The sequence below is a fragment of the Homo sapiens genome, chromosome 1 (genome assembly GCF_000001405.40).
Source record: "Homo sapiens chromosome 1, GRCh38.p14 Primary Assembly".
Lineage (NCBI taxonomy): Eukaryota > Metazoa > Chordata > Mammalia > Primates > Hominidae > Homo > Homo sapiens.
In genome coordinates this window covers 220,143,578-220,168,992 of record NC_000001.11, presented here as the reverse complement: position 1 = coordinate 220,168,992, position 25,415 = coordinate 220,143,578, and the positions used below count along the sequence as shown (strand labels likewise).

General features: G+C 38.1%; 2 protein-coding genes and 1 pseudogene across 2 annotated transcripts in view, besides 1 other annotated feature; 2 read left to right on the top strand and 1 right to left on the bottom strand.

Moving 5' to 3' along the window:
- Nucleotides 1-20,700, top strand: part of RAB3GAP2 (RAB3 GTPase activating non-catalytic protein subunit 2) — a 124,161-nt gene extending 103,461 nt beyond the window's left edge. Inside the window, exons 25-35 of the mRNA NM_012414.4 lie at nucleotides 1,318-1,491; nucleotides 1,594-1,700; nucleotides 4,194-4,260; nucleotides 6,725-6,795; nucleotides 9,572-9,607; nucleotides 11,117-11,191; nucleotides 11,505-11,723; nucleotides 14,936-15,025; nucleotides 15,587-15,808; nucleotides 17,229-17,387; nucleotides 17,587-20,700. Of these exons, the coding sequence (NP_036546.2) occupies nucleotides 1,318-1,491; nucleotides 1,594-1,700; nucleotides 4,194-4,260; nucleotides 6,725-6,795; nucleotides 9,572-9,607; nucleotides 11,117-11,191; nucleotides 11,505-11,723; nucleotides 14,936-15,025; nucleotides 15,587-15,808; nucleotides 17,229-17,387; nucleotides 17,587-17,742 (1,376 nt within the window). The 3' untranslated portion in view covers nucleotides 17,743-20,700. The remainder of the gene's footprint in view (nucleotides 1-1,317; nucleotides 1,492-1,593; nucleotides 1,701-4,193; nucleotides 4,261-6,724; nucleotides 6,796-9,571; nucleotides 9,608-11,116; nucleotides 11,192-11,504; nucleotides 11,724-14,935; nucleotides 15,026-15,586; nucleotides 15,809-17,228; nucleotides 17,388-17,586) is intronic.
- Nucleotides 14,529-14,729: a silencer, noted in NCBI's record as "peak705 fragment used in MPRA reporter construct". NCBI's record gives its function as "represses an SCP1 promoter by STARR-seq MPRAs in K562 erythroleukemia cells {active_cell/tissue: K562}" and the evidence as "EXISTENCE:reporter gene assay evidence [ECO:0000049][PMID:32103011]".
- The window catches only part of IARS2 (isoleucyl-tRNA synthetase 2, mitochondrial), a 53,910-nt gene continuing 49,446 nt past the window's right edge, over nucleotides 20,952-25,415 (bottom strand). The window contains exons 22-23 of the mRNA NM_018060.4: nucleotides 23,340-23,484; nucleotides 20,952-21,500 (exon numbers count right to left, since the gene is read on the bottom strand). Of these exons, the coding sequence (NP_060530.3) occupies nucleotides 21,358-21,500; nucleotides 23,340-23,484 (288 nt within the window). The 3' untranslated portion in view covers nucleotides 20,952-21,357. The remainder of the gene's footprint in view (nucleotides 21,501-23,339; nucleotides 23,485-25,415) is intronic.
- Nucleotides 24,617-25,075, top strand: RPS15AP12 (ribosomal protein S15a pseudogene 12; annotated as a pseudogene).

Sequence of the window (25,415 nt, the reverse complement as noted above, 5' to 3'; positions counted from 1 at the left end):
CATTTATTTTCACTGATAATTGTGAATTTACTGTGAAGCATTCTTTTTGTGGAAAGGTTTTTATTTGAATCAAAAGATGAGGAAAGACTGAGAAAGTTTTGGTAAACAATAGAGTATAATTTGTTTTCGATAATAAACAGGACTCGTTAAATATCTGGAACGTTTTTCAGCGTGTTTACAATTTTTTGTACTATATTGATGACTGAGACATGATATAATGCTGTTGATTAGCTATAGCTAAATTAGGCCCATAAATATTTCATATAGGCAAATTTGTTGATTATTAAAAGTAATAGGGCTGGGCATGGTGGCACATGCCTGTAATCCCAGCATTTTGGGACGCTGAGGCAGGTGGATCACCTGATGTCAAGAGTTTGCGACCAGCCTGACTAACATGGTGAAACCCTGTCTCTACTAAATACAAAAATTTAGCCGGGCATGGTGGCACATGCATGTAATCCAAGCTACTTGGGAGCCTGAGACAGGATAATCCCTTGTACCTGGGAGGCAGAGGGTGCAGTGAGCCAAGATTGCACCATTGCACCCCAGCCTGGACAACAAGAGCGAAACTCTGTCTCAAAAAAAAAAAAAAAGGAATATTTACTGGGCACAGTGGCTCACACCTGTAATCCTAGCACTTTGGGGGGCTGAGGCAGGCAGATCACCTGAGGTCAGGAGTTCGAGACCAGCCTCGCCAACATGGCGAAACCCCATCTCTACTAAAAATATAAAAAAATTACCTGGGTGTGGTGGGCGCCTGTAATCTCAGTTGCTCGGGAGGCTGAGGCAGGAAAATCACTTGAACCTGGGAGGCGGAGGTTGCAGTGAGCTGAGATCGCACCACTACACTCCAGCCTAAGCAACAAAGCATGACTCTGTCTCAAAAACAAACAAACAAAAAAGTAATATTATATTGGCCTTAGGAGCCTAGACAAATGTCATACTAACCAATCTATTTTCATTTATAATTTAAGTAAAAGTGTTTTAAGTATATATTAATTTTTTTTGTCTCTGGTAAAGTGTATTTTGAACTTAGAAAGCATATGGTTTATAGACATATGCATGTGCATTTATATTTATCTAATATTTTCTGAGAGTATAAGGATGCCCTGACATCGTAAATATCCCACTTGTTGCCCTCACAAGTTGCGTGGTAGGTAGGAACACTGCTGTAAATCTCATGGCTTTTTCGGGTCAGCTTCAGGCTGAGAAATGAATGTGGCACTTAGATCTCTTCGTAAGGAAATTGGCTCCCATTGGCAAACACTGCCCTGTGTGTTGTAAATTTTTATTTTCTTTCTTGTCTCCAAACTATAGGTGGCATTGCAGACAGTGTAGCCAAGTGGATATTTAAACAGGACTTCAGCCCTGAAGTATTAAAACTGGCTAATGAAGAAAGAGATGCAGAAAACCCAGATGAACCCAAAGAAGGTGTTAACAGAAGTTTCCTTGAGGTATCAGAGATGGAGATGGACTTAGGAGCCATACCAGGTGATACACAAATAATGAGAAATATGAAATCCAAATTGGAAAGATGTGGCCAAGTGTTCATTAAGGAAAAAAATAACATCACTGCTTTCTTCTGACTTTCAGACTTACTGCATTTAGCCTATGAGCAGTTTCCTTGTAGCCTTGAGCTCGATGTCTTGCATGCACATTGCTGCTGGGAGTACGTTGTTCAGTGGAATAAAGATCCAGAGGTAAGATTCTCGTTACCTCTTTCATGTTATTTCTGCTTCTGTGTTCATGCTATTCATATATGGGGACCGTCTAATTAAATAGCTTATTATAAACACTGGCTTTTTCCCCGTTGTAATGCCTCTGTACTAACTAGGGTAGACCTTTTTCACATATTTCCTCTTACAATCCTCCCAGTAAACCTGTGAAGTATAGATACTGTCAGTATCCCCACTCTAAAGAAAATACTAGGGCTCAGAGAAGTTAAGTTTCTTCCCTGCAGACACACAGCTAAGTAAGTGTCAGGATTTAAGCATATGGTTCTCTTTATCTAAAACCAGTGTGCTTTGCTCTACTCCCTAGTTAGGTTGTGACAAGTATATTGTTTATTTCCTTCTGAATTCCTGCATGAAATGGCCCCAACCGAACACAATATTCTTAATATTATAGTCATCGTGATAAAAGTCAAGAGTGAAGGTCCTGAGATCAACCTAGTGTCTGATTGTTCAAATATGTATTTGTCTGTTACTTCTGTATGCCTCAGAAGAACAAAGAGGCAGATCGTGACCAGGGTTGACTGTAGTCCAAGGTTAGCCTTGCTGCCCTCTCAGCTCTCTGCTCAGGCTTCATTTTCTATTGCTTTCGGTAGCCACTGTTTCTACCAGGACATTCACAGTCTGGAAGCAGCATATGGGGAAGACCCCAAGCCTGGAGGCAGAAGGCAGTGATTTGGATCCCAGCTGAATTGCTGACAAGCTTCTGGCTCAAGAGGGCCACTGAATCTCTGGCCTGTTATTTTCTACCTCCTTCCACCTCCTTTTTAAAATGAAGGTGCCATGATCAAATAAGATATAAAAACATATTGTAAATATTCCCCTTTGCCAATCAGTCCTTCACTTAGACCTCCTTAGTCAGTTCCCTGGTAAATTATTCCTCTCAAATCAAAATTCTTAACTTTATCTTCCTTATATGAGGTTGCACTATTGTAGAGAACTCTCACAGATGAACTAATTCATGCTAATATATTAATGGAAACGATACTCTTCCTTCCTCCAAAAAACTGTGTAATCACTTATATATTAAAGGAAGACATTATGAAAGTAAGTGATTTAAATAAAGGAATAGTCTTTGATCAATTAAACCTTGACCAAAAAATGATTTTAGGACAGAGGAATCCTCTTAATGCCCTTCAAATCACCCTCTTCAGTTGACTACAGCCTGAATGGCGATCATATTTAGGCTCTCTACTTAAATGTGTTACTTTTCCATTTTATTAAAAAGGAATGTTATGTCTAGAATGAGAAAATAATAATTTCTAAAATCTGAATTAATTTCAAATTCAAGTCTAAAAAAGTGGCATTTAAGAAGAAAATTCTGCTTTGTAGTATTTGTTTATAAACCAAAGGCAGCTTGCAGAGGGGACATAGACAAAGCTGACGTCAAGCCCCATGGTTGCTGCATAGAGCTTGTAATCCTCATAGCACACGGTTTCTGAACTCTTCGTTTCAATGTTCTCCTAAAATGAGGGCTGTAATAGTAGTTATCTCAAAAGGTTATTGCATATTTTGAGAAAATGAATGCATAGTGCCTAACATTTTGACTAGTGTTATCAGTATCATTAATGTTGCTTACATTTAAAAGAAGTTGTTGTTTTACTTGTTTGTTTTTCCCATTAAATATTCATCTTGCCCCATCCAACCAGTCTCAGCTCCACCATTTGACACACACAATTTTATAAGGCTCAAAACAATAAAATTACCTTCAGAGAAATTTCAACACAGTGTGTATTGGCAATGATGATATGTTTGATGATGATGTACAAGCTACAAAATTATTTAGCAGATATCTAAATTATTTAATCAGTGTTGTATACTGTATTTGAGTTTTAATATGTAAACTTCTTTGATTAGAAAGAGTTGAATTTCAAACATCCCATCTAATATTTCATATTTCCTTCCTGCTTTAATGTTTTTCTCTTTGGCACTTACCATTAACATACTAAATATAATATATTAACTTATCATGTTTATTATATAGGTCCCTCACTAGAATTTAAACTCAGTGAAGGCAAGACTTGGGGTCTGTTTTGTTCATTATGGAATCCATCGTGCTTCAAATAGGGCTTGGTGCATACTAGATACTCAATAAATATTTGTTGAATGATGAATGAATGAATAGTATCTACAAAAGTAAGCTTATTGTTTTTAAATCTGTATGAAATTCAAGTATTTATTGGAGAGAATATTGCTATGATGTTCAAACCACAGCAAATTTGAATCCAGATGTTAGCCCATATGACCGAGGAGCTTCTGGGAATTAATTATTGTATAGGTAATGTGAGTTGAAGAGGGACAGTTTATCAAAAGTTATTTCTTATCCAATAATTTCATGTTATTATTGCAACATTCTTAGGTGGTTTTATGCAGAAATTTATGTAAGAAGTCTCCATTGATAATGGTAAAACCTATTAAATGATACCTCTTTTTCTTTCTCGTTTTTTTCTCCCTGTATGTAAGGAAGCACGTTTTTTTGTTAGGTCAATAGAACACTTGAAGCAAATATTTAATGCACATGTTCAAAATGGTAAGTAAACAGATGTTAGAAACATCACTGTTTGATCTAAAAGAGGCTTCCTGATTTAACAGGATGTGAATTTAAAGATTTACAACCTATTAAATTTTTATTTGATTATCCTGCAGCCTAACATATTACTGTGTATTGGCTGAGGTGCAAGGGTCTCTTGAGCCCAGTAGTTCAAGGCTGCAGTGAGCTATGATCACACCACTGCATCCAGCCTGGGTGACAGAGTGAGACCCTGTCTCTAAAAAAAAAAAAAAAAAAACAAAACAAAAAACAAAACAAAAAAAAAACAGTACTGGCCATTTTAACTACTTGGAAAAGTGCTATTTATAAAGGGGCAAAACAACTGATAGTAATCACCACTTCTGTTCCCCAAGCAGCTGACTACTATCCCTGAGTGTAATGAAGGCAGCTGTTCTGTATCTAGCTTTCCAAGGAAAGAGGGAATCAATGATAGATGCAGAACAGCTGCCTTCATTACACCCTTCACAGATAGTGAAGGAAAGAGGGATGGATTTCTCAGGACTGCAATTCTTAATAAAAAATCTTGGTAGCCAAAAGCCTAATAAGATTAGACTGTAGCAACTATCTTGTGCGTCTTATAATGGATGTGAATATTCTCCATTAGCTGCCTTGGCAACTACTGATGCCTCCTTGAAAAAATATTGAACTTGTAAACAGATTCCATTTAATAGATAGATGGGTTTCATTATAGGAATTGAGGATATCAGCACTAAGCTAGTTAGTAACCTTAGTAAATGATGAGACTTGGTGTTAGGCTGGGTAAGAGGAGATATCACCTTATGTCTCTGTAATAAATTCTAGAGAAGCTATGTATTTTTCACCTCTATCACATGCTTGCAGGTGACATGAAATCCAGTTGCAGAAATTGTAAAATATCCCATTTTACTTGAAGAGAACTTGAAAATTACTTATTCATCTCTTAGATCTTACCTTCATCCTATATATATATATATATATATATATATATGTATGTATTTATATATTTACCTTGACTGATTTAGAAAATATCATGTTTAGATTATTCTATCTTTATTGATAAAATTAAGTTACTGCCGGACGCAGTGGCTCACACCTGTAATCCCAACACTTTGGGAGGCCGAGGCGGGCGGATCACGAGGTCAGGAGATCGAGACCATCCTGGCTAACATGGTGAAACCCTGTCTCTACTAAAAATATAAAAAATTAGCCGGGCATGGTGGCAGGTGCCTGTAGTCCCAGCTACTCGGGAGGCTGAGGCAGGAGAATGGCCTGAACCCAGGAGGCGGAGCTTGCAGTGAGCAGAGATCACTCCACTGCACTCCAGCCTGGGAGAGAGAGACTCCGTCTCAAAAAAAAAAAAAAAAAATTAAGTTACTAACTGACTTCAGACTAGTATTTCTTCAAGTCAGGCCTTTACATATTTGTACCTTTACCCATCGAGTAGGGTTCCTGGCTTCTCATAGCCTGTGATGGGCCTTACTCATAGACAGACTCAGCTACAAGGGTAGTAATAATAGCATGTGAAATGCCATGTTTACATTGCCTAATTGACAACTGTTTCAGAAATTTAATGTTAATGCCACAGCTCAATGAGTAGTGACAGGGTCTTGCTTTGTTACCCCAGTTGGAGTATAGTGGCACACATAGCTCACAATAATCTTGAACTCCTGAGCTCAAGCTATGCTATCACCTCAGCCTCCGAGTGCGACTATAGCCATGTGCCACCATGCCTAATTTTTTAAACATTTTTTCATAGGGATGGGTTCTGGCCATGTTGCCCAGCCTGGTTTGTTTGTTTGTTTGTTTTTTATATATTTTGTTTTTAATACTTTTTTATATAACTACATACTTTAGTTTGCAGTTATATGTGAAAAAAATCAATTGGCAGACATTGGGATTGTTTCTAGTGTTTGGCTGTTGGGAATAAAACTGTTCCCAACAATCTCATACATATGTTCTGTATTCATTTCTCTAGTGTATATACCCAGCAGAATTGTCGGGTGATAGAGCAGACACATGTTTAGCTTCAGTAGCTACCACCCAGCAGTTTTCCCTGTGGTTTTACCAAATTATTATACCACCAGTAATGCATGAGTGTTCCATTTGTTCCATATCCTCACTAATACTTGGTATTATAATTTAAAAATTGTTCTTAGCCTTTTTGGTGGTTATGTAATGCTGTCTCACTGTGACATTGTATTTCTCTCATAACTAATGATGTGACTCTTTTCTTCATGCTTAGTGGCAATTTAGACATACTCTTATACAGCCTAGTTCTGATTTTTATTAAATCAGATTTTAAATGAAATTAAAGATTTCATGAACTTTATAAATATTACATGAGATATAAAAAATGAAATCAAAATAGTCTATATAGTTTAATAAGCTTAAGAAAGAGTAATTTATGTGTAATAAAAGTGAGACTATATAAGCATTCTATTTACTACTTTTACTTGCTATCTAGGCATTGCACTGATGATGTGGAATACGTTCTTAGTTAAAAGATTTTCTGCTGCTACATACTTAATGGATAAGGTAAGGTAGTTTCATGTATTGACTTCTTATTTATTTGATTCTCTTATTTGACTAATATTAGAAAGATTGTTCACATTAGGCTTTGTTAGACTATTTTTTAATTTGATAATTAGATTTTACTCATACTCAGTTAAATGTAATGCCCAGTACTGGCATTTTAATGACATAAAGAAGGACTCTAAATCCTCATAAAGAGACTAATATATTATAAAAGCCTCTTAACTAAAGAGATTAGGACTGGTAGTTGATTCAAGCAAGGATTTGCATTTTATTTTAAATTAAAGTGTACAAATTTACACTTACCAATCTTTGATGTAAGGCCAAGATATTTTCTTTGAATGGAGTTGATTGCATTCTCCTTTGGTTTTCTTGTGTAAACCTCACCCATAATGTATTGCCTATCATGGCTAGATCTTATTTTTTTAAAGTTGTTGTGTAATCTGAGTCCAAAACCTTTAGATTTCTATAATTTTTATAGTTGTTCCCTCTGTATCTAATCCAAAAGACCTAGGAGTTATTCTCCTCTATAAATCTTTGCAAAGCATTCAACATAGCATTCATGGAAATAACTCCCCCTTTTTTCTCATTCATATTTCATCAGTTATGGAATTAAATTACATAATTACAGTGACATCTACAACCAGCATGAGTAGCTTTGGGAACAAGCATAACATATAAGCATAGAACTCAACTGGTGGGAGCAGAAGCTGCTAGCATGCCGACAGTACCAGCCTAGCCTCCAGCTGAGTGGCCAGGGACACTAGTTAGTGTGTTTTACAGGCCACTCAACAATGTAGATTAGTGTAGCATCAGATGAGTGGATGCTAAGAGAATTACCACTGTAAAGATAACATATTCTTTTAAATGTATAGTCACAGTCATTCCTGCATCATGAATAGCACCACAGCCAAGACCCAACTTTAGGCCACTGCTCCCCTTGAAATTACTCTCTTTGATGTTATTGATAACATTTTTCTGGTTAAATCTAACCATTCTTTCCTCTGTGCTCATCTTCCTTGACTGAATAGCTTCTTTCTTGGAACTTGCATCTTTTGGCCTTTATGATGTTGTTCTCCTATTCAACTTCACCTCTTACCCCCTCGTCTTTCGAGAGAATAACAGTAAAATGTAATTTATGTGTGTTACAATTTGTAGTTTCACAGCATTCTCACATCCACAATCACTTTTGATCTTCACTACTTTGGGGCAAAAACAGTCCTAAACCAGGAAGTAGGAAATTTGTGATTGGATAAGTCTTTATTATAATGTGTTATCTCTCATGTGCCAAGACTATGCTAGGTTCTGTGGTTGAACCAATGGAAGTTATGGTCCTGGCCCTCAAAGAGCTCACAGTTTGAACACCAGGTAAACAGACAATAGGGAGTGTTTGGAGCTCAGAAGAGGAGGAAATAAATAACAAAACAAGGGGAAGGCTTCTGACTTAAATTTTGGTGGATGCCTATATATATACCAGTAAAAAGTAGGTGAGAGGAAAGTATATCCCAGCAGTCCTGGAGATATGAGGCAACTTGTTGGATTCAGAGAACTAGAAGTAGCTTAGGATGGCTGGAACATAGGCTATATTAGAAGAAAAGAAAAGCTAAGATGAAGACATTCCTGTGCAGGCTGTGAATTTGGATTTTCTAGTAGTATGTGTAAGCTTAGCACAGGGTCTGGCACATGTGGTAAGGGCTCAGTAAATGGTAGCTATTATTTTATATTGAAGACACTGGGGCAGTTTTAAGCAGAGGAATTATATATTCAAATTTGTGTTTAAAAAGATGATTCTGGCAACAGACAAAATATCTTGGGACTGGGGTCAGCTGATCTTGGTTGTTCCAAGGCTGTTGCAGTAATCCCAGCAAGTGGTAGTGAGGTGACATTTTTCTCCAATGTCTCCTGTGAGTTTCCTCTCTTATCAAGTAGTATTTCTGAGGGCAGAACTTTTGCCTCCCACTTATTACACTGTAGACATATACAGTAAAATCTTAATAAGTACTTATTGCGTAAGGAAATTTTTCTGGGCTAGGAATATAACTCCCATGTGCTTTAGAGTGGTTTTCCTTTCTTTCTATTTCAAACAATTGTGCCTTTATCAACAAGCTGAATTCTTAGGTGTTCTTGATTAGTAGCCCTGAATTAGGCTCTGGGTTTTTTTTTTAGTTTTTCTTTGGTAGGAGTGGGATGGAGTCTCACTCTGTTGCCCGGGCTGGAGTGCAGTGGCACAATCTTGGCTCACCGCAACCTCTACCTCCTGAGTTCAAGTGATTCCCCTGCCTCAGCCTCCCGAGTAGCTAGGACTACAGGTGCATGCCACCACGCCCAGCTAATTTTTGTATTTTTAGTAGAGATGGGGTTTCACCATGTTGGCGAGGCTGGTCTCAAACTCCTGACCTCAAGTGGTCGGCCCACCTTGGCCTCCCGAGTGCTAGGATTACAGGCATGAACTACCACACCCGGCCCAGGCTCTGGGTTTTTAGGCAACACAGTTATTTGACTGTACAGATTTTTAGAGTTTTTACTTATTTAATAGTTCAGAAATATGTAATTTATATTTGAAAAGGATTATTCTTGAGCCCAGTGTGAGATTAAGTTTCACCACCAATTTAATTGCATCTACTGTTGGTAGAGCCAACAGCTAATTAATGAGGCTGTCACATTTACTTATAGCGCCATTTACGGTTTTTAAATTCGGTTACTTTTTATTATTTGTGCCATAGTAATGTCTTTTTATTTAAATTATTAAATGTTACAACATTTTATCTTTTTATTTTAGGTTGGAAAATCACCAAAAGATAGGTTATGCCGAAGGGTAAGTGAATCTCCCATAGCTAGAATTATGGTTGTTAATTCCACACTTTTATGTAGTACTTTATTAACTGTATAGGTGAACTTTGCCTTTTATCATTGTGATGACGTATCAGAAGGAGATAAGAAAAATGAAAAGAGAATACTGCATTAAGGAAACTGGTCATGAACTATGGCCAGTTTTAATTTACTTTTCCAGATTGTTAGATAGCATATTAAACTAGGTTTTTATAAGATGTTGTTCAGCTTTGAACTGTGAACAGGTTAACATGCTACCATTGCTGCATATTCCGATTAGACATTTATAATGGAAGCATCCAACATCAAATTGAAGCAGGTTCAAATGAAGTAGTTAATTTGATCTACCTATATATATGATATATATAATAACATAAGTATACAAATACAACATTAGTCTTAACTAATATTCTAATCCATGGATATGGGACTTGTATTTGACCCAAGAAATTAATAGTACTAGCTTCCATTGTTGAAGACTTTTTCTGATGTGTTCTTGAGAATGGTTGTATGACTAGAGTGTGTACGTGTGTGTGCATGCATGTGTGTGTGCATGTACCCACAAACACTGAATTATTTGCTTTGGGGATGTGAGGAAATTATAAGATTGTTGGTTTTAAAAAGATTATATGGCAGGGCGCGGTGGCTCACGCCTGTAATCCTAGCACTTTGGAAAGGCGAGGCTGGTGGATCACCTGAGGTCAGGAGTTTGAGACCAGCCTGACCAACAAGGTGAAACCCCATCTCTACTAAAAATAGAAAAACTAGCCAGGCATGGTGGTGGGCGCCTGTAATCCCAGCTACTCAGGAGGCTGAGGCAGGATAATCGCTTGAACCTGGGAGGTGGAGGTTGCAGTGAGCCGAGATCGTGCCACTGTACTCCAGCCTGGGCAACAAGAATGAAACTCTGTCTCAAAAAAAAAAAAAGATTATACACAAATGCAGTGGTCCCTTGGACAAGCCCTTTAAAGGAGTCATTGAGAATCGTCTGTTGCTCACAGCATCAATCTGGTATTTAGTTCTCAAGCTTGAGGATTCTAGTTTTGCTCAGAGGGTCGGGTTCAGTCTCTAAAAGACGCTCTGAAAGCAGACCAGGCTGTTTTCTTGGAGCTTTTCAGGTTAGATTCTCATGTGTGTATCTTCCATCTACCACGATTATTTGGCTACCAGATGCCTTAGCAAGCTGAACAGTGAGCTCAGAAGTGCCACCATCTATAGTAACTAATGAGGCTGTTTCTTTACAATACACAAAGAACACTACTTTTTAAAAGTCAATATTTATACCACTTTGTAAAGCTTGACTTTAAAATTGGTTGACAGTAAATCTAAAAGAAGGAACTTAAATATGCTAATGCCTTGACTTTCAAATTCTTGCCTGTCTATTCAGTGTGGAAAGTCAGCTGAACCAGTGTATTGTATCCTGGTTCTTGTTTGGCTGACAGTAACTATAGCAGTTTTCCTGCAGGGCCTAATTACGTTCCTTTTTAAAAAACAGGATGTGGGAATGAGTGACACAGCAATGACATCTTTCCTCGGCTCCTGTTTGGATCTTCTTCAGATCTTAATGGAGGTAAAAGAGGTGTATTTTTCATTCTGAACTGCTCCTAAGATATTACATATTCTGCAAACCATTGCATTTAATAAATGACTATTTTAATGAGGTTGTTTTTCATTCATTCATTTCTAAATTTTGACTTGAGCCCAGAAGGTAGTGATGTTTTCTTATTAAATTCTTATTGAAATTAGACTTTGTGTTTTTTTATTACAATTTGGGACAGTGTGCAATATGAATTTGCACTTTGCTGCTAATAAACTCATTGGGATATTTGTAAGCTATTATTTTTCCATTACTGAACACAGTCCTCCATTCTCAAAACCCTTAGGCAGATGTTAGCAGGGATGAAATACAGGTGCCTGTGCTGGATACTGAGGATGCGTGGCTCTCCGTGGAAGGACCAATCTCCATAGTGGAACTGGCCCTTGAACAGAAGCACATCCACTACCCACTGGTGGAGCACCACTCCATCCTGTGCTCCATCTTGTATGCAGTCATGAGGTTTTCTCTGAAGACCGTGAAGCCACTTTCACTTTTTGACAGTAAGGTAAGTACCTCACAGGATTTCAGAGCTATTTTGGAGTTGCAGGCTTAGCAGACACATGGATTTTCATATTTAATAGAAGCTGTCCAGTACTTTTGTGACTGGTATAATTTGGTGTGAGGTTCCAACTCCCTCATTCCCTGCTTGATTCCGTTCTTTTTATTTACCTTCTGTACTGCTCCCCTTGGAGTTTTGCCCTCTCAGCTGTCTGCTCTTCTCATTCTCCATATTATTCCTGGACAGACTCATTTTCTCCCTCTTATATATCTCTAGGCCTGACCAATCCCTAGAGTTTGAGGCATTCATTTCTTTTGAACTTCTCTCTTTGAGTGTCTTATAGGACTTCAGACACCTCATATCTAAAATATATCTGCAAACCAATACCCACATCCTGCCCCTAACCTAAATTTGCTGTTCCTTCTGAATTCCCTGACTTGGTTATTTTATTAACGATGTCATCATTTTTGCCCTGGCAAAAACTAGAAACTTTGAAGTTATCTCACCAATTCCTTACTTCAAGCCAATTTTCTTCATTGTAAATTCATTCTTGTAAATTCTGCCATAGATCATGCCTGTCCGTTTCTCTCCATGACTATAACCCTAGTTCAGGCATAATCATCTTTCCCTCGGCTATTACAACAGCCCTTTCTTAATCACGCTGCCTCCAGTTTCTCTCTCTCCAGTCCCATGCTGCAAGAGCTGTCTTCCTAAGAGACAGGTTTAATTGTATTAGTTCTATACCTAAGATTTTTTTTGGCTCCTCTGCAGGATCAAGTCCAAATTTGTGAGTAGAATATGTTTTTACATATTCTATTGTAACCTTCACAGTTTAGCTGCAGTGGATAGTAAAATCCTTTCCTTCCCCACGCAGGTGTCAAATTTTGAGAGACAGGACAAACTGTTGGAGACAAAAACGTCAACATTATTACTTAGCTTTTTACTGATAGAAGCTGGGTTAGAGAACACAGCTTAGGCTTGTGGGAAAGTGGGTTTATTATTTCACCCTTAAATGAGAGACTCCCGGACAGTCATGGTGGCTCACACCTGTAATCCCAGCACTTTGGGAAGACAAGGTGGGCAGATCACTTGAGGTCAGGAGTTTGAGACCAGCCTGGCCAACATGGTGAAACCCTGTCACTAGTAAAAACACAAAAACTAGCCAGGCATGGTGGTGTGTGCCTGTACTCCCAGCTACTTGGGAGGCTGAGGCAGGATAATCGCTTGAACCTGGGAGGCAGAGGTTGCAGTGAGCCAAGATCACACCACTGCACTTCAGCCTGGGCCACAGAGTGAGACTCTGTCTCAAAAAAAAAAAAAAGTATAGATTTTGAATGAGTTAGTATATCTTTGAGAATATAAGCGATAAGAGTACTTAAAAGTTAAAAAAGAGAAAGAAATACCAAAATAAAGTGCCTAGCTCAGTATTCCCATCAGAAAAGGCCTTTGTGAAACCAGAACACATCCAGAATTGGATTAGCACAATAATGTTTAGTTTCAACCCATGTCATGCCAAGACTACCTGAGACAGCTGGGTGACACTCATCTGCAGAGAGCTAGTATGGTTGAGTGGCTAGTGAAAACAATCCCGGTGCTACCATTTGCTAACTAGAATTATTTAGATTTTCTTACTCTCAGTTTTCTCATTCAGAAAGTAGCAGTGCCAGCCTCATGGTTGTTGTAAGGGTTCCTTGTATTCAACATGAAGTACTTAGCAGCATCTGGAATGTAGTAAATAATAAGTGGTGCTATTATAGATGCTATAGCTAGGACCACCAGGTGGGAACTATCGAGTAACAGATTGTGAGTGTATGCTAAATCTTTAAATACTTCTCTCAGTGATGTCCAAAATGTCATGGGTTGCCCTGTAAGTCCGGTTTTTCTTATCACTAAAGGATGAGTAGCTTTAATCTACTTGGCAGTCACAACAGATGACCTAGAATCACAGATGATTAGGTATGGAAGGCACATTGGAAGATACCTAGGATGACCTGCTTGCAGAAGAAGAAACGGTAACCCAAGATTGTGGGTCATTTACCCAAGGCAACCTGGATGGAAGTGGTGAGCCTTGGACTAGACCCAGGTCTTTCAACTTAAAGGCCAATGTTCTTTGCTCTGTATTACATTTCCTTCCAAGGAACTTCTAAAATCCTGTTTCCTGATATTCTGTTTTTACTCTTTAGACACACATCTGTTCTTTTAAATAAGGTGTTTTTAAACAATTCAACAAGTGTTTTTAAAAGGATTCAGAGGCTGGGCGCGGTGGCTCATGCCTGTAATCCCAGCACTTTGGGAGGCTGAGGCGGGCAGATCACCTGAGGTCAGGAGTTTGAGACCTGCCTGGCCAATATGGTGAAAACCCCGTCTCTACTAAAAATACAAAAAAATTAGCCTTGGCGTGGTAGTACACGCCTGTAGTCCCAGCTACTTGGGAGGCTGAGGTGGGAGAATCGCTTGAACCAGGAAGGTGGAGGCTGCAGTGAGCTGAGATCACACCACTGTACTCCAGCCTAGGCAACAGAGTGAGACTCTGTCTCAAAAAAAAAAAAAAAAAGGATTCAGGGTACATATATGTATTACTTAGCTATTACTGCGGAGTAAATCATCCCAAAACTTGGCTGAAAATAACAAATATTTATTATCTCACAGTTGTTGTGGGTCAGTAATCTGTGTTCTCCTTATCTAGGTGCCTCTGGCTTAGTCTCTCATGAGGCTGTAGTTAAGGTGCTGCATCTGAAAGCTCAACTGGGATGGGGACAGGGTGATTCACTTCTAAGCACAATTGTTGGCAAGATTCAGTTATGCCACATGTGCCTCTCCATACAGCAGCTCACAACACGGAACCTGGCTTCCTGCAGAACAAGTGAGAGTGAATATGAGTGCCTCAAGGCAGAAGAAGCAGTCTTTTGGAACGTGGTCTTGGAAGTAACATGTATCACCTCTACCTGCTTCTGTTGCTAGAAGCAAGTCATCAGCCTCCATGCAAGGAGAGGAGACTATAGGAAACACGAATACCAGGAGGAGGGGATCACTGGGTTTCATCTTAAAGGCTGTCTACTATATACTAGATAATTGTTATAAAAATTATTCTAAAATCTTACTGTTCAAGGAGAAATAAAAATCAACCATAAGTTATTATTAAGTTTTAAACAAATCTTTCTCCCTCTCCCCCCTTAATAATCCACACTCATCAGTTTTCTTGCTCTCTTTCTTTTTAGGGAAAAAATGCATTTTTCAAAGACCTAACTTCAATTCAGTTATTACCTAGTGGGGAAATGGATCCAAATTTTATTTCTGTACGACAACAGGTAAATTATAGCTATTGGATTTTGTTTTTGTTTCTTGGAAAAAAAAACATAAGGGAAAAATCTAGCTGGCTTTTGAAAAGAATGACTACTTTCTATCGCAAGGACAGAAAACCAAACAGCACATGTTCTCACTCATAGGTGGGAGTTGAACAATGAGAACACTTGGACACAGGGTGGGGAACATCACACACCAGGGCCTGTCGTGGGGTGGGGGGAAGGGGGAGGGATAGCATTAGGAGATATACCTAATGTAAATGATGACTTAAGGGGTGCAGCACACCAACATGGCACATGTATACATATGTAACAAACCTACACGTTGTGCACATGTACCCTAGAACTTAAAGTATAATAATAAAAAATAATAATAATATTTAAAAAAGACCAATTTCAAAGTATTCTTGAGAGCTAGTTGTTTAAATGATGTGTTCCTTTTTTGATAACTAAACAATTTAATGGAAAAGCCACTATAAGTGACAGAAAAGCTAACAATACTTGGTTTAGGTATTTTAAAATGAAACAGTAACAATGCATTGCTCTATCTCTTTCTCCATTTTCAAGTTCTTATTGAAAGTTGTCAGTGCAGCTGTCCAGGCCCAACATTCAGCCACAAAGGTCAAAGATCCCACAGAAGAGGCCACACCCACTCCTTTTGGGAAAGACCAAGATTGGCCAGCTCTAGCTGTGGATTTAGCCCATCACCTTCAAGTTAGTGAAGATGTTGTTAGAAGGCATTATGTGGGGGAACTATACAACTATGGAGTTGACCACTTAGGAGAAGAGGTAATCATGACCCTTTGAATGTTAATTGGGCTCAAGTTATAAAATTGATAGTTGGAATAAAGAATCAGTTAAGTTTCCAATGAAGCCTTTTGCTCTTCCTTTTATTAGAACATCTAGGTATAAAAATAGAACAATAGAATATTTTTTAAAACATAAAATTATAATCAAATAATTCCTACAGTGTGCCAGGCCTGCCCTACGCACAGGGATATAGCAGTAAACAAAACAGACAAGGTTCCTTCATCATGGACTTGATAGTCTGCTGGTAGGAGCAGAAAAGCATGCTAAATTTTGCATTGAATGATAGGTGCTATGAAGAAAATAAAGAGGGCCGGGTGTCGTGGCTCACACGTGTAATCCCAGCACTTTGGAAGGCTCAGGTGGCAGATCACTTGAGCCCAGAAGCTCGAGACCAATCTGGGCAATATAGCGAGACCCCGTCTCTAAAAAGGAAAAAAATATTTATTTTTAAATTGAAAAAGAAAGAAACAGGATCATATGAATAAACAGGAGCCACTACAGTAGAGTGGTCAGAGAAGGTGACATTTGAACCGAGCCCCCAAGGAGAAGCAGCAGCCAGCTACTCAGAAACTGGGGGAACAGTGCTTGAGACAAGAATTACAAAGGCCCTGAGGTGGGGACTAGAATGACTAGGTCCAGGACTAGAAAGGCCAGTATGGCTGACCAAACATAGTAAGCAAGGAATAAAGAAGTATGGCATGAGGCAGGGAGGCTGGCCCGGGCCATGGCCCTATCCTAGGTCTCGGAGCCCATGGTTATTCTAAGTGTATTCAGAAGCCATTAGAGGGGCTGGGCGTGGTGGCTCACGCCTGTAATCCTAGCACTTTGGGAGGCCAAGGTGGGTGGATCACTTGAGGTCAGGAGTTCAAGACCAGCCTGGGCAACATGGTGAAACCCTGTCTCTACTGAAAATACAAAAAATTAGCTGGGCGTGGTGGCATGTGCCTGTAATCCCAGCTACTTGGGAGGCTGAAGCAGGAGAATCGCTTGAACCCAGGAGGTGGAGGCTGCAGTAAGCTGAGATTGCACCACTGCACTCCAGCTTGGGTGGCAGAGTGAGACTCCATCTCAAAAAACAACAAAAAAAAGCCATTAGAGGGTTTCAAATAGACATGACATGAAACTCCTTTTATTTGCCAAAAGTTTGAAAACAGCACACTGAGTAGCCACATTGAATTGAAAGATTAGGTGATGAGAGAAAAAAAAATTAACCAAGGAACAGAAATTTGGGTTTAAATGCTAAGTTTGATTTGGATTTATCTTTGGTTGTATACAATCAAAAGATAAATGGCCACAGTTCAAAAATCAACTAGAATCTCTTCACTGGCAACCCCTTTCCTATAGAATAAACAAATCTGCTCACTCTGACTGTATTATTTCTCCATGTTCCTATCTTCAGGCCATTCTACAGGTTCATGACAAAGAGGTCCTTGCCTCTCAGCTGCTGGTGCTCACGGGGCAAAGGCTGGCTCATGCGCTTCTCCACACCCAGACAAAAGAAGGAATGGAGCTGCTTGCCAGACTTCCACCCACACTGTGTACTTGGCTGAAAGCAATGGTCAGTACAATAGAACGAGATCAGGCAAAAGGTCATTGGATGTTTTCTTGAGTGCCTGGTTAATAACAGTTATGAAGAAAATTTGACAAGTTTAATTCACCTAGTTACAAAGAAAAGCATTTTTATGTAATAACTCTTAAGTCAATAACAATTATTGTTTAGTTGTCTATAATAGGTTATTTTTGTGTCCCATTTGCAGGACCCCCAGGACCTTCAAAACACTGAAGTGCCAATTGCAACAACAGCTAAACTAGTAAATAAAGTAATTGAGCTTTTACCAGAAAAACATGGGCAATATGGTCTAGCCTTACACCTCATTGAAGCTGTGGAAGCCATATCTCTTCCTTCTTTATGACACTTACCTACTGGAAATAGTCTAAAATTATGATTATAACATGAAGTAGTGCATGGTTATTTTACATAGTAAGACCTGGAATTTTATGGGAAAAGTATGTCTTTTTTTTTCCTTTTGTAAAATAAATAAAAGTATATACAACTTTTAAAAAGTGCAACCCTGGCTAAATTCCACTCCTTTGGTTAATACTGAAGATAAAATATAAACAAATGTCAACTCTGTTATAATTAATACAGATGTTTTACTGTTTATTTCTAATTCAAACACTTAAGTAGCTTTATTGTTAAACTTTGCTATTTAAAATTGGTTATAATTTAGATTATGTTCTTATAAGATTCTATATTTCCTATCTAAAATGTTGTTGTAATTCAATTTAAATGTGTTCATGTACAGTCCCCATCAGTAGCGTATAGAACACCCCACTCTCCTTTAGTAAATGTTGAGAAAATGCCTTTGTTGTCATGCTCCAAATCCCACACTGGGCTGCCACCTGGGAGTTCTGGATACCGAAAGGTTCCTTTCCCAGAGGTTCTGCTGTTGCCATCAGAGGAGGATGACCGTGCTTGAGGAGGAAGAATGGGTTCAAGATCATCATATTCATCAGAAGGGGACACTAAATAGAACCCTTAACCTGTTGTACTTGCCAAAATTGAGAATCAGAGATGTGTAAAATGCAGCAAATTAATTATAATGTAAGTTAAGATTTGCTTTTTGCCAAGTTGCAAAGTTGTATCCACATCAGGTCACTGTAAAAATGTATTATCTTGTAAAACTTATGTAAAAAAAAAAAAAAAAAAAAGGCAAAGATACTAAAAATTTTAAGTCCGACTTTATTTTTCCTACAAGTGTTTAGAAATGCTTCTGGGATTTGCTAATATTATCTGTCCTTGGGAACAGTATTGAAAAAACTGCTTAGTGGTATTACAGCTTTAGCAAACCTACCTCACAGCTGGGATGAGAGGATAAAATACAACTAATTTTGTACCCTATAGTGCCTAGAGCAGTCCAAGTGCTAAATAAATATTTACTGATTAAAACCAAACTATAGCTACTCGGGAGGCTGGAGGAGGATCGCTTGAGCCCAGGAGTTTGAGGCCATTCTGGGCAATATAGCAAGACCCTGTCTCGAAAAAAAAAAAAAAAAGAAAAAACCAAACTAACCAAAACTCTGTAAAAGAGTGCTTTGAGCTCTACAAATACCAAGTATTTATTGTGGTATATTTTTAGAATGTAGCCATACAGTGTAATTATGGGTATCTGTCATGGATCACAATTATTATTCATAGTAAGTCATTGTGATACAGAAGTTTGTTTCTTCACTTCCCCTTAAGAAGCCAACTATAGTAATCATGCAAAGTTGAGGAGTATGTCCTTCAGGGATATAAAAAGAAAAACAAATCTGTTTTTTGAGCTAAAAGAGCACATCCAAACAAGAATTTAACTGGCTAAAATTTAGTAATTACTGTTAAGTAACTATCAAACTTGAAATCTTACAAGATAAATGGTTAAGATGTCTTGAGTATTTGGGATGGGGGCCTGTGAGTCTGATTGAGACATACATTTTACAGAGTAGCAGCACTGGAAAGGGCTAGTCCAACCTCCCAGCCTCTGCTTGGGTCTCCGCTGCCCCAGCCACACACATCCTAGAATTCTTGTAAACATATCTGGCTCTGTGTTAACAGTCACTTGTTATATGTTTTCTAAGAGATTAGTTCTTCCTGTGATTTTTCCAAGTACGCTGAAAGTAGTAGTATGAACTTAAGGAGGCTAGTCAAAGAAACTTGGAGTTATAGGTATTTTTAAAGAATAAATCCTCAATTCCATCATCACTTGGCGGGGAGGGGGCACTTATTAAGCATTTTAGATAATAAAACTGGTTAAGCTTACTCTGGTAGAACAGACAATCAAATCTGGGGATTGCTGAGAACAATAATAAGCTGAAGTATGGCTCACAGAATCCTAACACAAATCATTAAGTCTCTAGTTAGATTTGTTATCCTAAAATTTTTCATAGAATTTTAAAATCTAATTCTGACTTGTATGGTTAAGAAAAGCAGTTAAATATTTTACTACTTATCAAGGGCTTTTAAAATAAATAAATCTGATTGATAGGAAGAAAGGCAAATAAATACCTATGTAGACATTCTATAATAACAAAGAGCCATAGATGATAAAGGAATTAGATTTTAATGTAGAATGGGTGGTTTCTGAAACAAAGGTATGTGGTACTTTGTAGTTATTGATGAGAAGCCAGTAACCAGTAGTGTTTTCCTAGATATATGCCCACCCTCACACAACTTTCTTCATTAACAAACATTAAATATGCATTTGTATCTTATTAAATTATATTGTATAATGCTGAAGGAAAACAAAAAGTGTTCAAATAATCATAACTTCTACATTACAGGTTCTGTTTAGATGCAGAACTAGAGGGGCCAGGGTAAATGTAGATAAAGAGATATATAGCACCATGCTTCTTAATGCTTCATACTTTTGCAAACAGAAAAAAAAAGTTTTACTTTTATTATAAAACTTCATCTATGGTCAAAGTAAACACTGTTACATTTAAATTGCTTTTTAAAAACAATTGCGATCTAAAAAGTCAAAAATCTGAAATTTAATAATATGAGACTTACACTGAATATAATGTTCATTTAGAAGTTGCTGTGGTCCACTTCATTTATAAGGAACAAATATTTTTACAGTACACTATAGCAACAGCAAAAGCCCTCTCTCACCCTGATAGGAATGGGTTTGCTGGGTGTCTAGAAGTTAGATTCCTGCTGAATAGAATTAGCCATCCTTAAAAGATTTTAATCCAATACTGAACTGTTTATAAAATGCTTTCTCTATTGTAATGTACTGTAAGTAGTGAAATTCTGTATATACTGCTATTTTCTGTCTGTTCATTGTTGTGAACTTCTTATGTATATTAGTGAAATAAATTTTCAGCTTTCATGTTGTTTCCTAAACATTCATAAGTATAACTAACTATTAAGAGATTTCTTCCTTTCTTGAGTAACAAATTTGGTGATTATATTCTTTCTGATCCAACCCCAAAAACTAGCTATTCTGAAAAGGCTGATGTTCACTAATGGGAAGAATGAAATGACCCTTCACCTCTTAAGGGAAACAGGCCTCCGCCATTCCCTTTCAAAACTATACTTCTTTTACTTGATACTCAAAACTTCTGCACCAAAATCAGTCAGTATTTTTCCAGAATGCCTTTATTTTCAGTATCATAGAATTTAAATACAGAGTCAAAAGATGATTTATAAAATATAAAACATTTTCTGCTTGGCCGTATTTGAAGACAAGCTGAATACATATCTATGTTCTGAATAAGTCCACTATGGATATATATAGGAAGAGATATACATATATCCATCCACAGATACACACACACATATATATTTCTGCATGTATATATACATAATTCTTTCTATAGTTACAGGAAATACTTCTTCTATAATTCTGATTTTGACTCCCATCCTCCACCATTTACTCATCCACTCATTACCTAAATCTTGGCTTTCTTTCCTATATTGTAAATAATCCATCCAAACTTCTAGCCAGTACTGTCAGGAGGGTTCTTGCTCGAGTGAGCTGTTAATACTATTTTCCACTGACAACTTCTGCACATCGAGGACACAGTGTATCTGAAGACTCCGCTGTATACTTCCAACAACGGGGGCATTTTTCTTTCGTAGTCGGCATGACAATTACTTTATAGGAAGACTCTTCACGAATATCACCACCTATAAAAAAATACATGAAGAGTATTTCTGATAGGCATTCAACTTGTAACACTGTTTCTTAATTGGTTTAGCAGAGGCTTCTTTTTCAGTCTTTTGTCCTGCCTTGGTAAAGCTTGTCAGACACTTCCCCATTTGTCCCATTACATATATAGCCAAGATAATGGGATCATACAACTCAACACCTGAAGGGAGCTGAGGAATTAGAGACCCCGTGACTCTGAGATTAACTGACATCTCCCAAGTCACCGAGTTCTACATCTACTCAGGCAGAGCAGACTTTCTAGCTGTTAAATTTGGGTATAGTTCTGATGAATGACACTGCCTCTCCAGCTACATACTTGACTAAGAATTTTTAAAAGTCAAATTATAGTGACAACTACAGTGTCCTCACTCAAAATATCTCGTGGGACAAAAGGAACCAAAAATATCTCCACAATTAATACTCTTAGACCTCAGATTGATAAAAATATAAAACTAAGTTATTTTCTAGTCATTGTACAAAGAGTATGTGAACATTACATGGCCGGGCATGGTGGCTCAAGCCTGTAATCCCAGCATTTTGGGATGCCGAGGCGGGTGGATCACCTGAGGTCAGGAGTTCAAGACCAGCCTGGCCAACATGGTGAAACCCCATCTCTACTAAAAATACAAAAATTGGCCGGGTGTGGTGGCAGGCGCCTGTAATCCCAGCCACTTGGGAGGCTGAGGCAAGAGAATTGCTTGAATCTGGGAGGCGGAGGTTGCGGTAAACCAAGATTGCGCCATTGCACTCCAGCCTGGGTGACAAGCGAAATTCCGTCCGAAAGAAAAAATTACACAAAGTAAATTAAGCCAGAACTTTTACTACACGGTCTATGCTGCCAAGCCCAAATTTGAACTGATGCCTGTAAGTTAGCTTCCCATCTCCTGGTACCCAAAAGCTATGAAAAACACAAGCAGCATAAGATACCTGCTTTTTTTTTTTTTTTTTTTTTTGAGACGGAGTCTCGCTCTGTCGCCCAGGCTGGAGTGCAGTGGTGTGATCTCAGCTCACTGCAAGCTCCGCCTCCGGGGTTCACGCCATTCTCCCACCCCAGCCTCCCCAGCAGATGGGACTACAGGCACACGCCGCCACGCCTGGCTAATTTTTTTTGTATTTTTAGTAGATTCGGGGTTTCACTGTGTTAGCCAGGATGGTCTCAATCTCCTGACCTCACGATCCGCCCGCCTCGGCCTCCCAAAATGCTGGGATTACAGGCATGAGCCACCGTGCCCAGCCTATTTTTCTTTATTAATGCAACTCTACCGCTACCAATGAAGATGAACCAGACTGACTTTTAAAATCTTCTATAAAACAAATATCGACAAAATGCTTGCTTATGAGATACCATTGTTAGAATGAGCTCAATAAAACTTCCTCCTTAACCCCTCACAAGAATGGCTAAATATTTTAATCCGGGGTATACATAATAGGAAATTTTAGAATCAATACTGGGGAACAGTGGGCAGGACTGGGCCAGTACTGGGGTACTAAGTATCAAAGCAGGGGGACACAAAAGAGGAATGGGAGCAAGTCAGCCTAACATAAACTTCATATACAGTGACCATTATTTATTCAAAGGACAGAAAGAAAATCTCTCTCCCTCTTCTGTCCCTAGCCCTCAGTTCCCAAGATCATCAGGTAAGATAGTTTTAAGAGCGGGCTTAGAAACTTGGCAATTGTTTTTATTATTTCCATAGAAAGATGTATTCCAAGTATATATCTACCTTTAGAATAAACCCAGTCCACTGGAAAGTTGGAGATGACCTATAATTATTCAATTCTCCAGATGTTACTTGTTACTTTCATCTCCTTCTTACCTTCTAAGTTGATGAGGAATTTCCCTTTAAGCTCGATTACATCTGCAGTCATCTCTCGTGGTTCCTGAGCCAGTAAAGTTGACTCAGAAGCCATCATTAATTCATTCAACTGAGAGGTGCTGGAAGTCTCTTCAGACTGCAGCATCTGGAAGGAAGCATGTGAAAGTTACAGTTTATGTTAAATTTGTACCATAAACTGAGGTTATAAAAAGAAACACTATAAAATCTCACGTTTAGAGAGGAACCTTCTGGTATACCATTGCATCCTGAGCAAACATCACTAAATGTATCAATCCTAATTAGCATAAAAGGTTTTAACTAAATATTTCCATCAACAGTATTTATTGAGAATGCCAGGCACTTCACTTTGCTAGATCCTAAGATGTCTCTTACTTCTAATTGTCACATACATACACACAAAAAAAACCTATATGGTGTTTATTATCCTCACTTTACAAATGAAGAAACAAGCAAAGAGAGGTTAACTTGCCCAAGATTCTCAACCCATACGTGGTGGAACTGCAGGTCAAGCCCAGGTCTGTCAGCCTCAAAGCCTTTTTTTTTTTTTTTCATGTATCATTGGGTGAGGGGCTAAAATACTATCTCAACAGGTACCAGCTTTTAGTAATGTATACTGATAGTGGCAATCTGAACAATACGCAGAACACTTATGAAGTAGACTGAATTTGTCTGATGAACACATTTTTCTCTGTAATTTTGATCTTCAAAGTGAGTTTGTAAGCTAACCAACATAGACATTCCTTTAAAAATTAAAGCCCATGAGAAATAAGAGACTCAAAGAGATTAATTTGGTTTTAACAAGTTTATGCAATTAGTAATGGATAGAACCAGGACTCCATCTTACAGCTACTTGGTATGATTCCTAAGGAAAATACATTCATGTTTTTGAAAATCCCAAAGTATTTTTTCCAATAAAATTGATCCAAACAAGCTGTTCTTCTTTTCAGTTCATTACTTAGAAAGACTGAAGACAAAGGAAACACAGTATGTAGGAAAAAAGGCCAGGACTAGGCTGTGTTACCCTGTCTAGGTCACAGCTTCAGCAGTCCTCACTTCCTCACTTGTAAAATGAACAGCTTCCCAAGTTTTAAATTTTAAAATGGGAAAATCTCATCTATTATACCTACTAGCTATTTCAAGCTCAAATCTTAATCTTGCTAATTACATCATTAAAAATTTAAATTGAGCTTACCATACAAAATAAGATGGATGTTTTTTAGAAAACTGACACTAATAAAACTTTTAAAAAATAGCTCTTCCACCGTCTTTCTGCACCACCACAATGGTGCGCATGAATGTCCTGGCTGATGCTCTCAAGAGCATCAACAATGCCAAAAAGAGAGGCAAAAGCCAGGTGCTTATTAGGCCGTGCTCCAAAGTCATCATCCTGTTTCTCACCGTGATGATGAAGCATGGTTACATTGGCAAATTTGAAATCACTGATGGTCACAGAGCTGGGAAAATTGTTGTGAACCTCACAGGCAGGCTAAACAAGTGTGGAGACATCAGCCCCAGATTTGATGTGCAAAGCAAAGATCTAGAAAAATGGCAAAATAATCTGCTTCCATCCCGCCAGTTTGGTTTCATTGTACTGACAACCTCAGCTGGCATCATGGACCATGAAGAAGCAAGATGAAAACACACAGGAGGGAAAATCCTGGGATTCTTTTTCTAGGGATGTAATACATATATTTACAAATAAAATGCCCCGTGGAAAAAAAATTATATTCATTGCCAATTCTCTTCTTAAGCATTTAGACTGGAGAAAAATCACATCATTATGTTAAGCTATAAGCCAATCTGGCCAATCAACCCCTAAAAATCCCAAGAATAAAATTCTGATGGCCCTTCTAGAAATAAAAATAGGATAAATGCTTTGAAATATATGTGGTAACTTGCTGGAGAAAATGAATTTTCTCCAGATTTCACAAAATAAAAATGGAAACTCTTTTTGGGTTTGTTTTGAATCTGGTCCAGATGGATGAAATTCTCAGGAAACCTGACCCTTAATACAAAACTCCCATTTTTTATACATTCAAAGACGATCGCGATCAA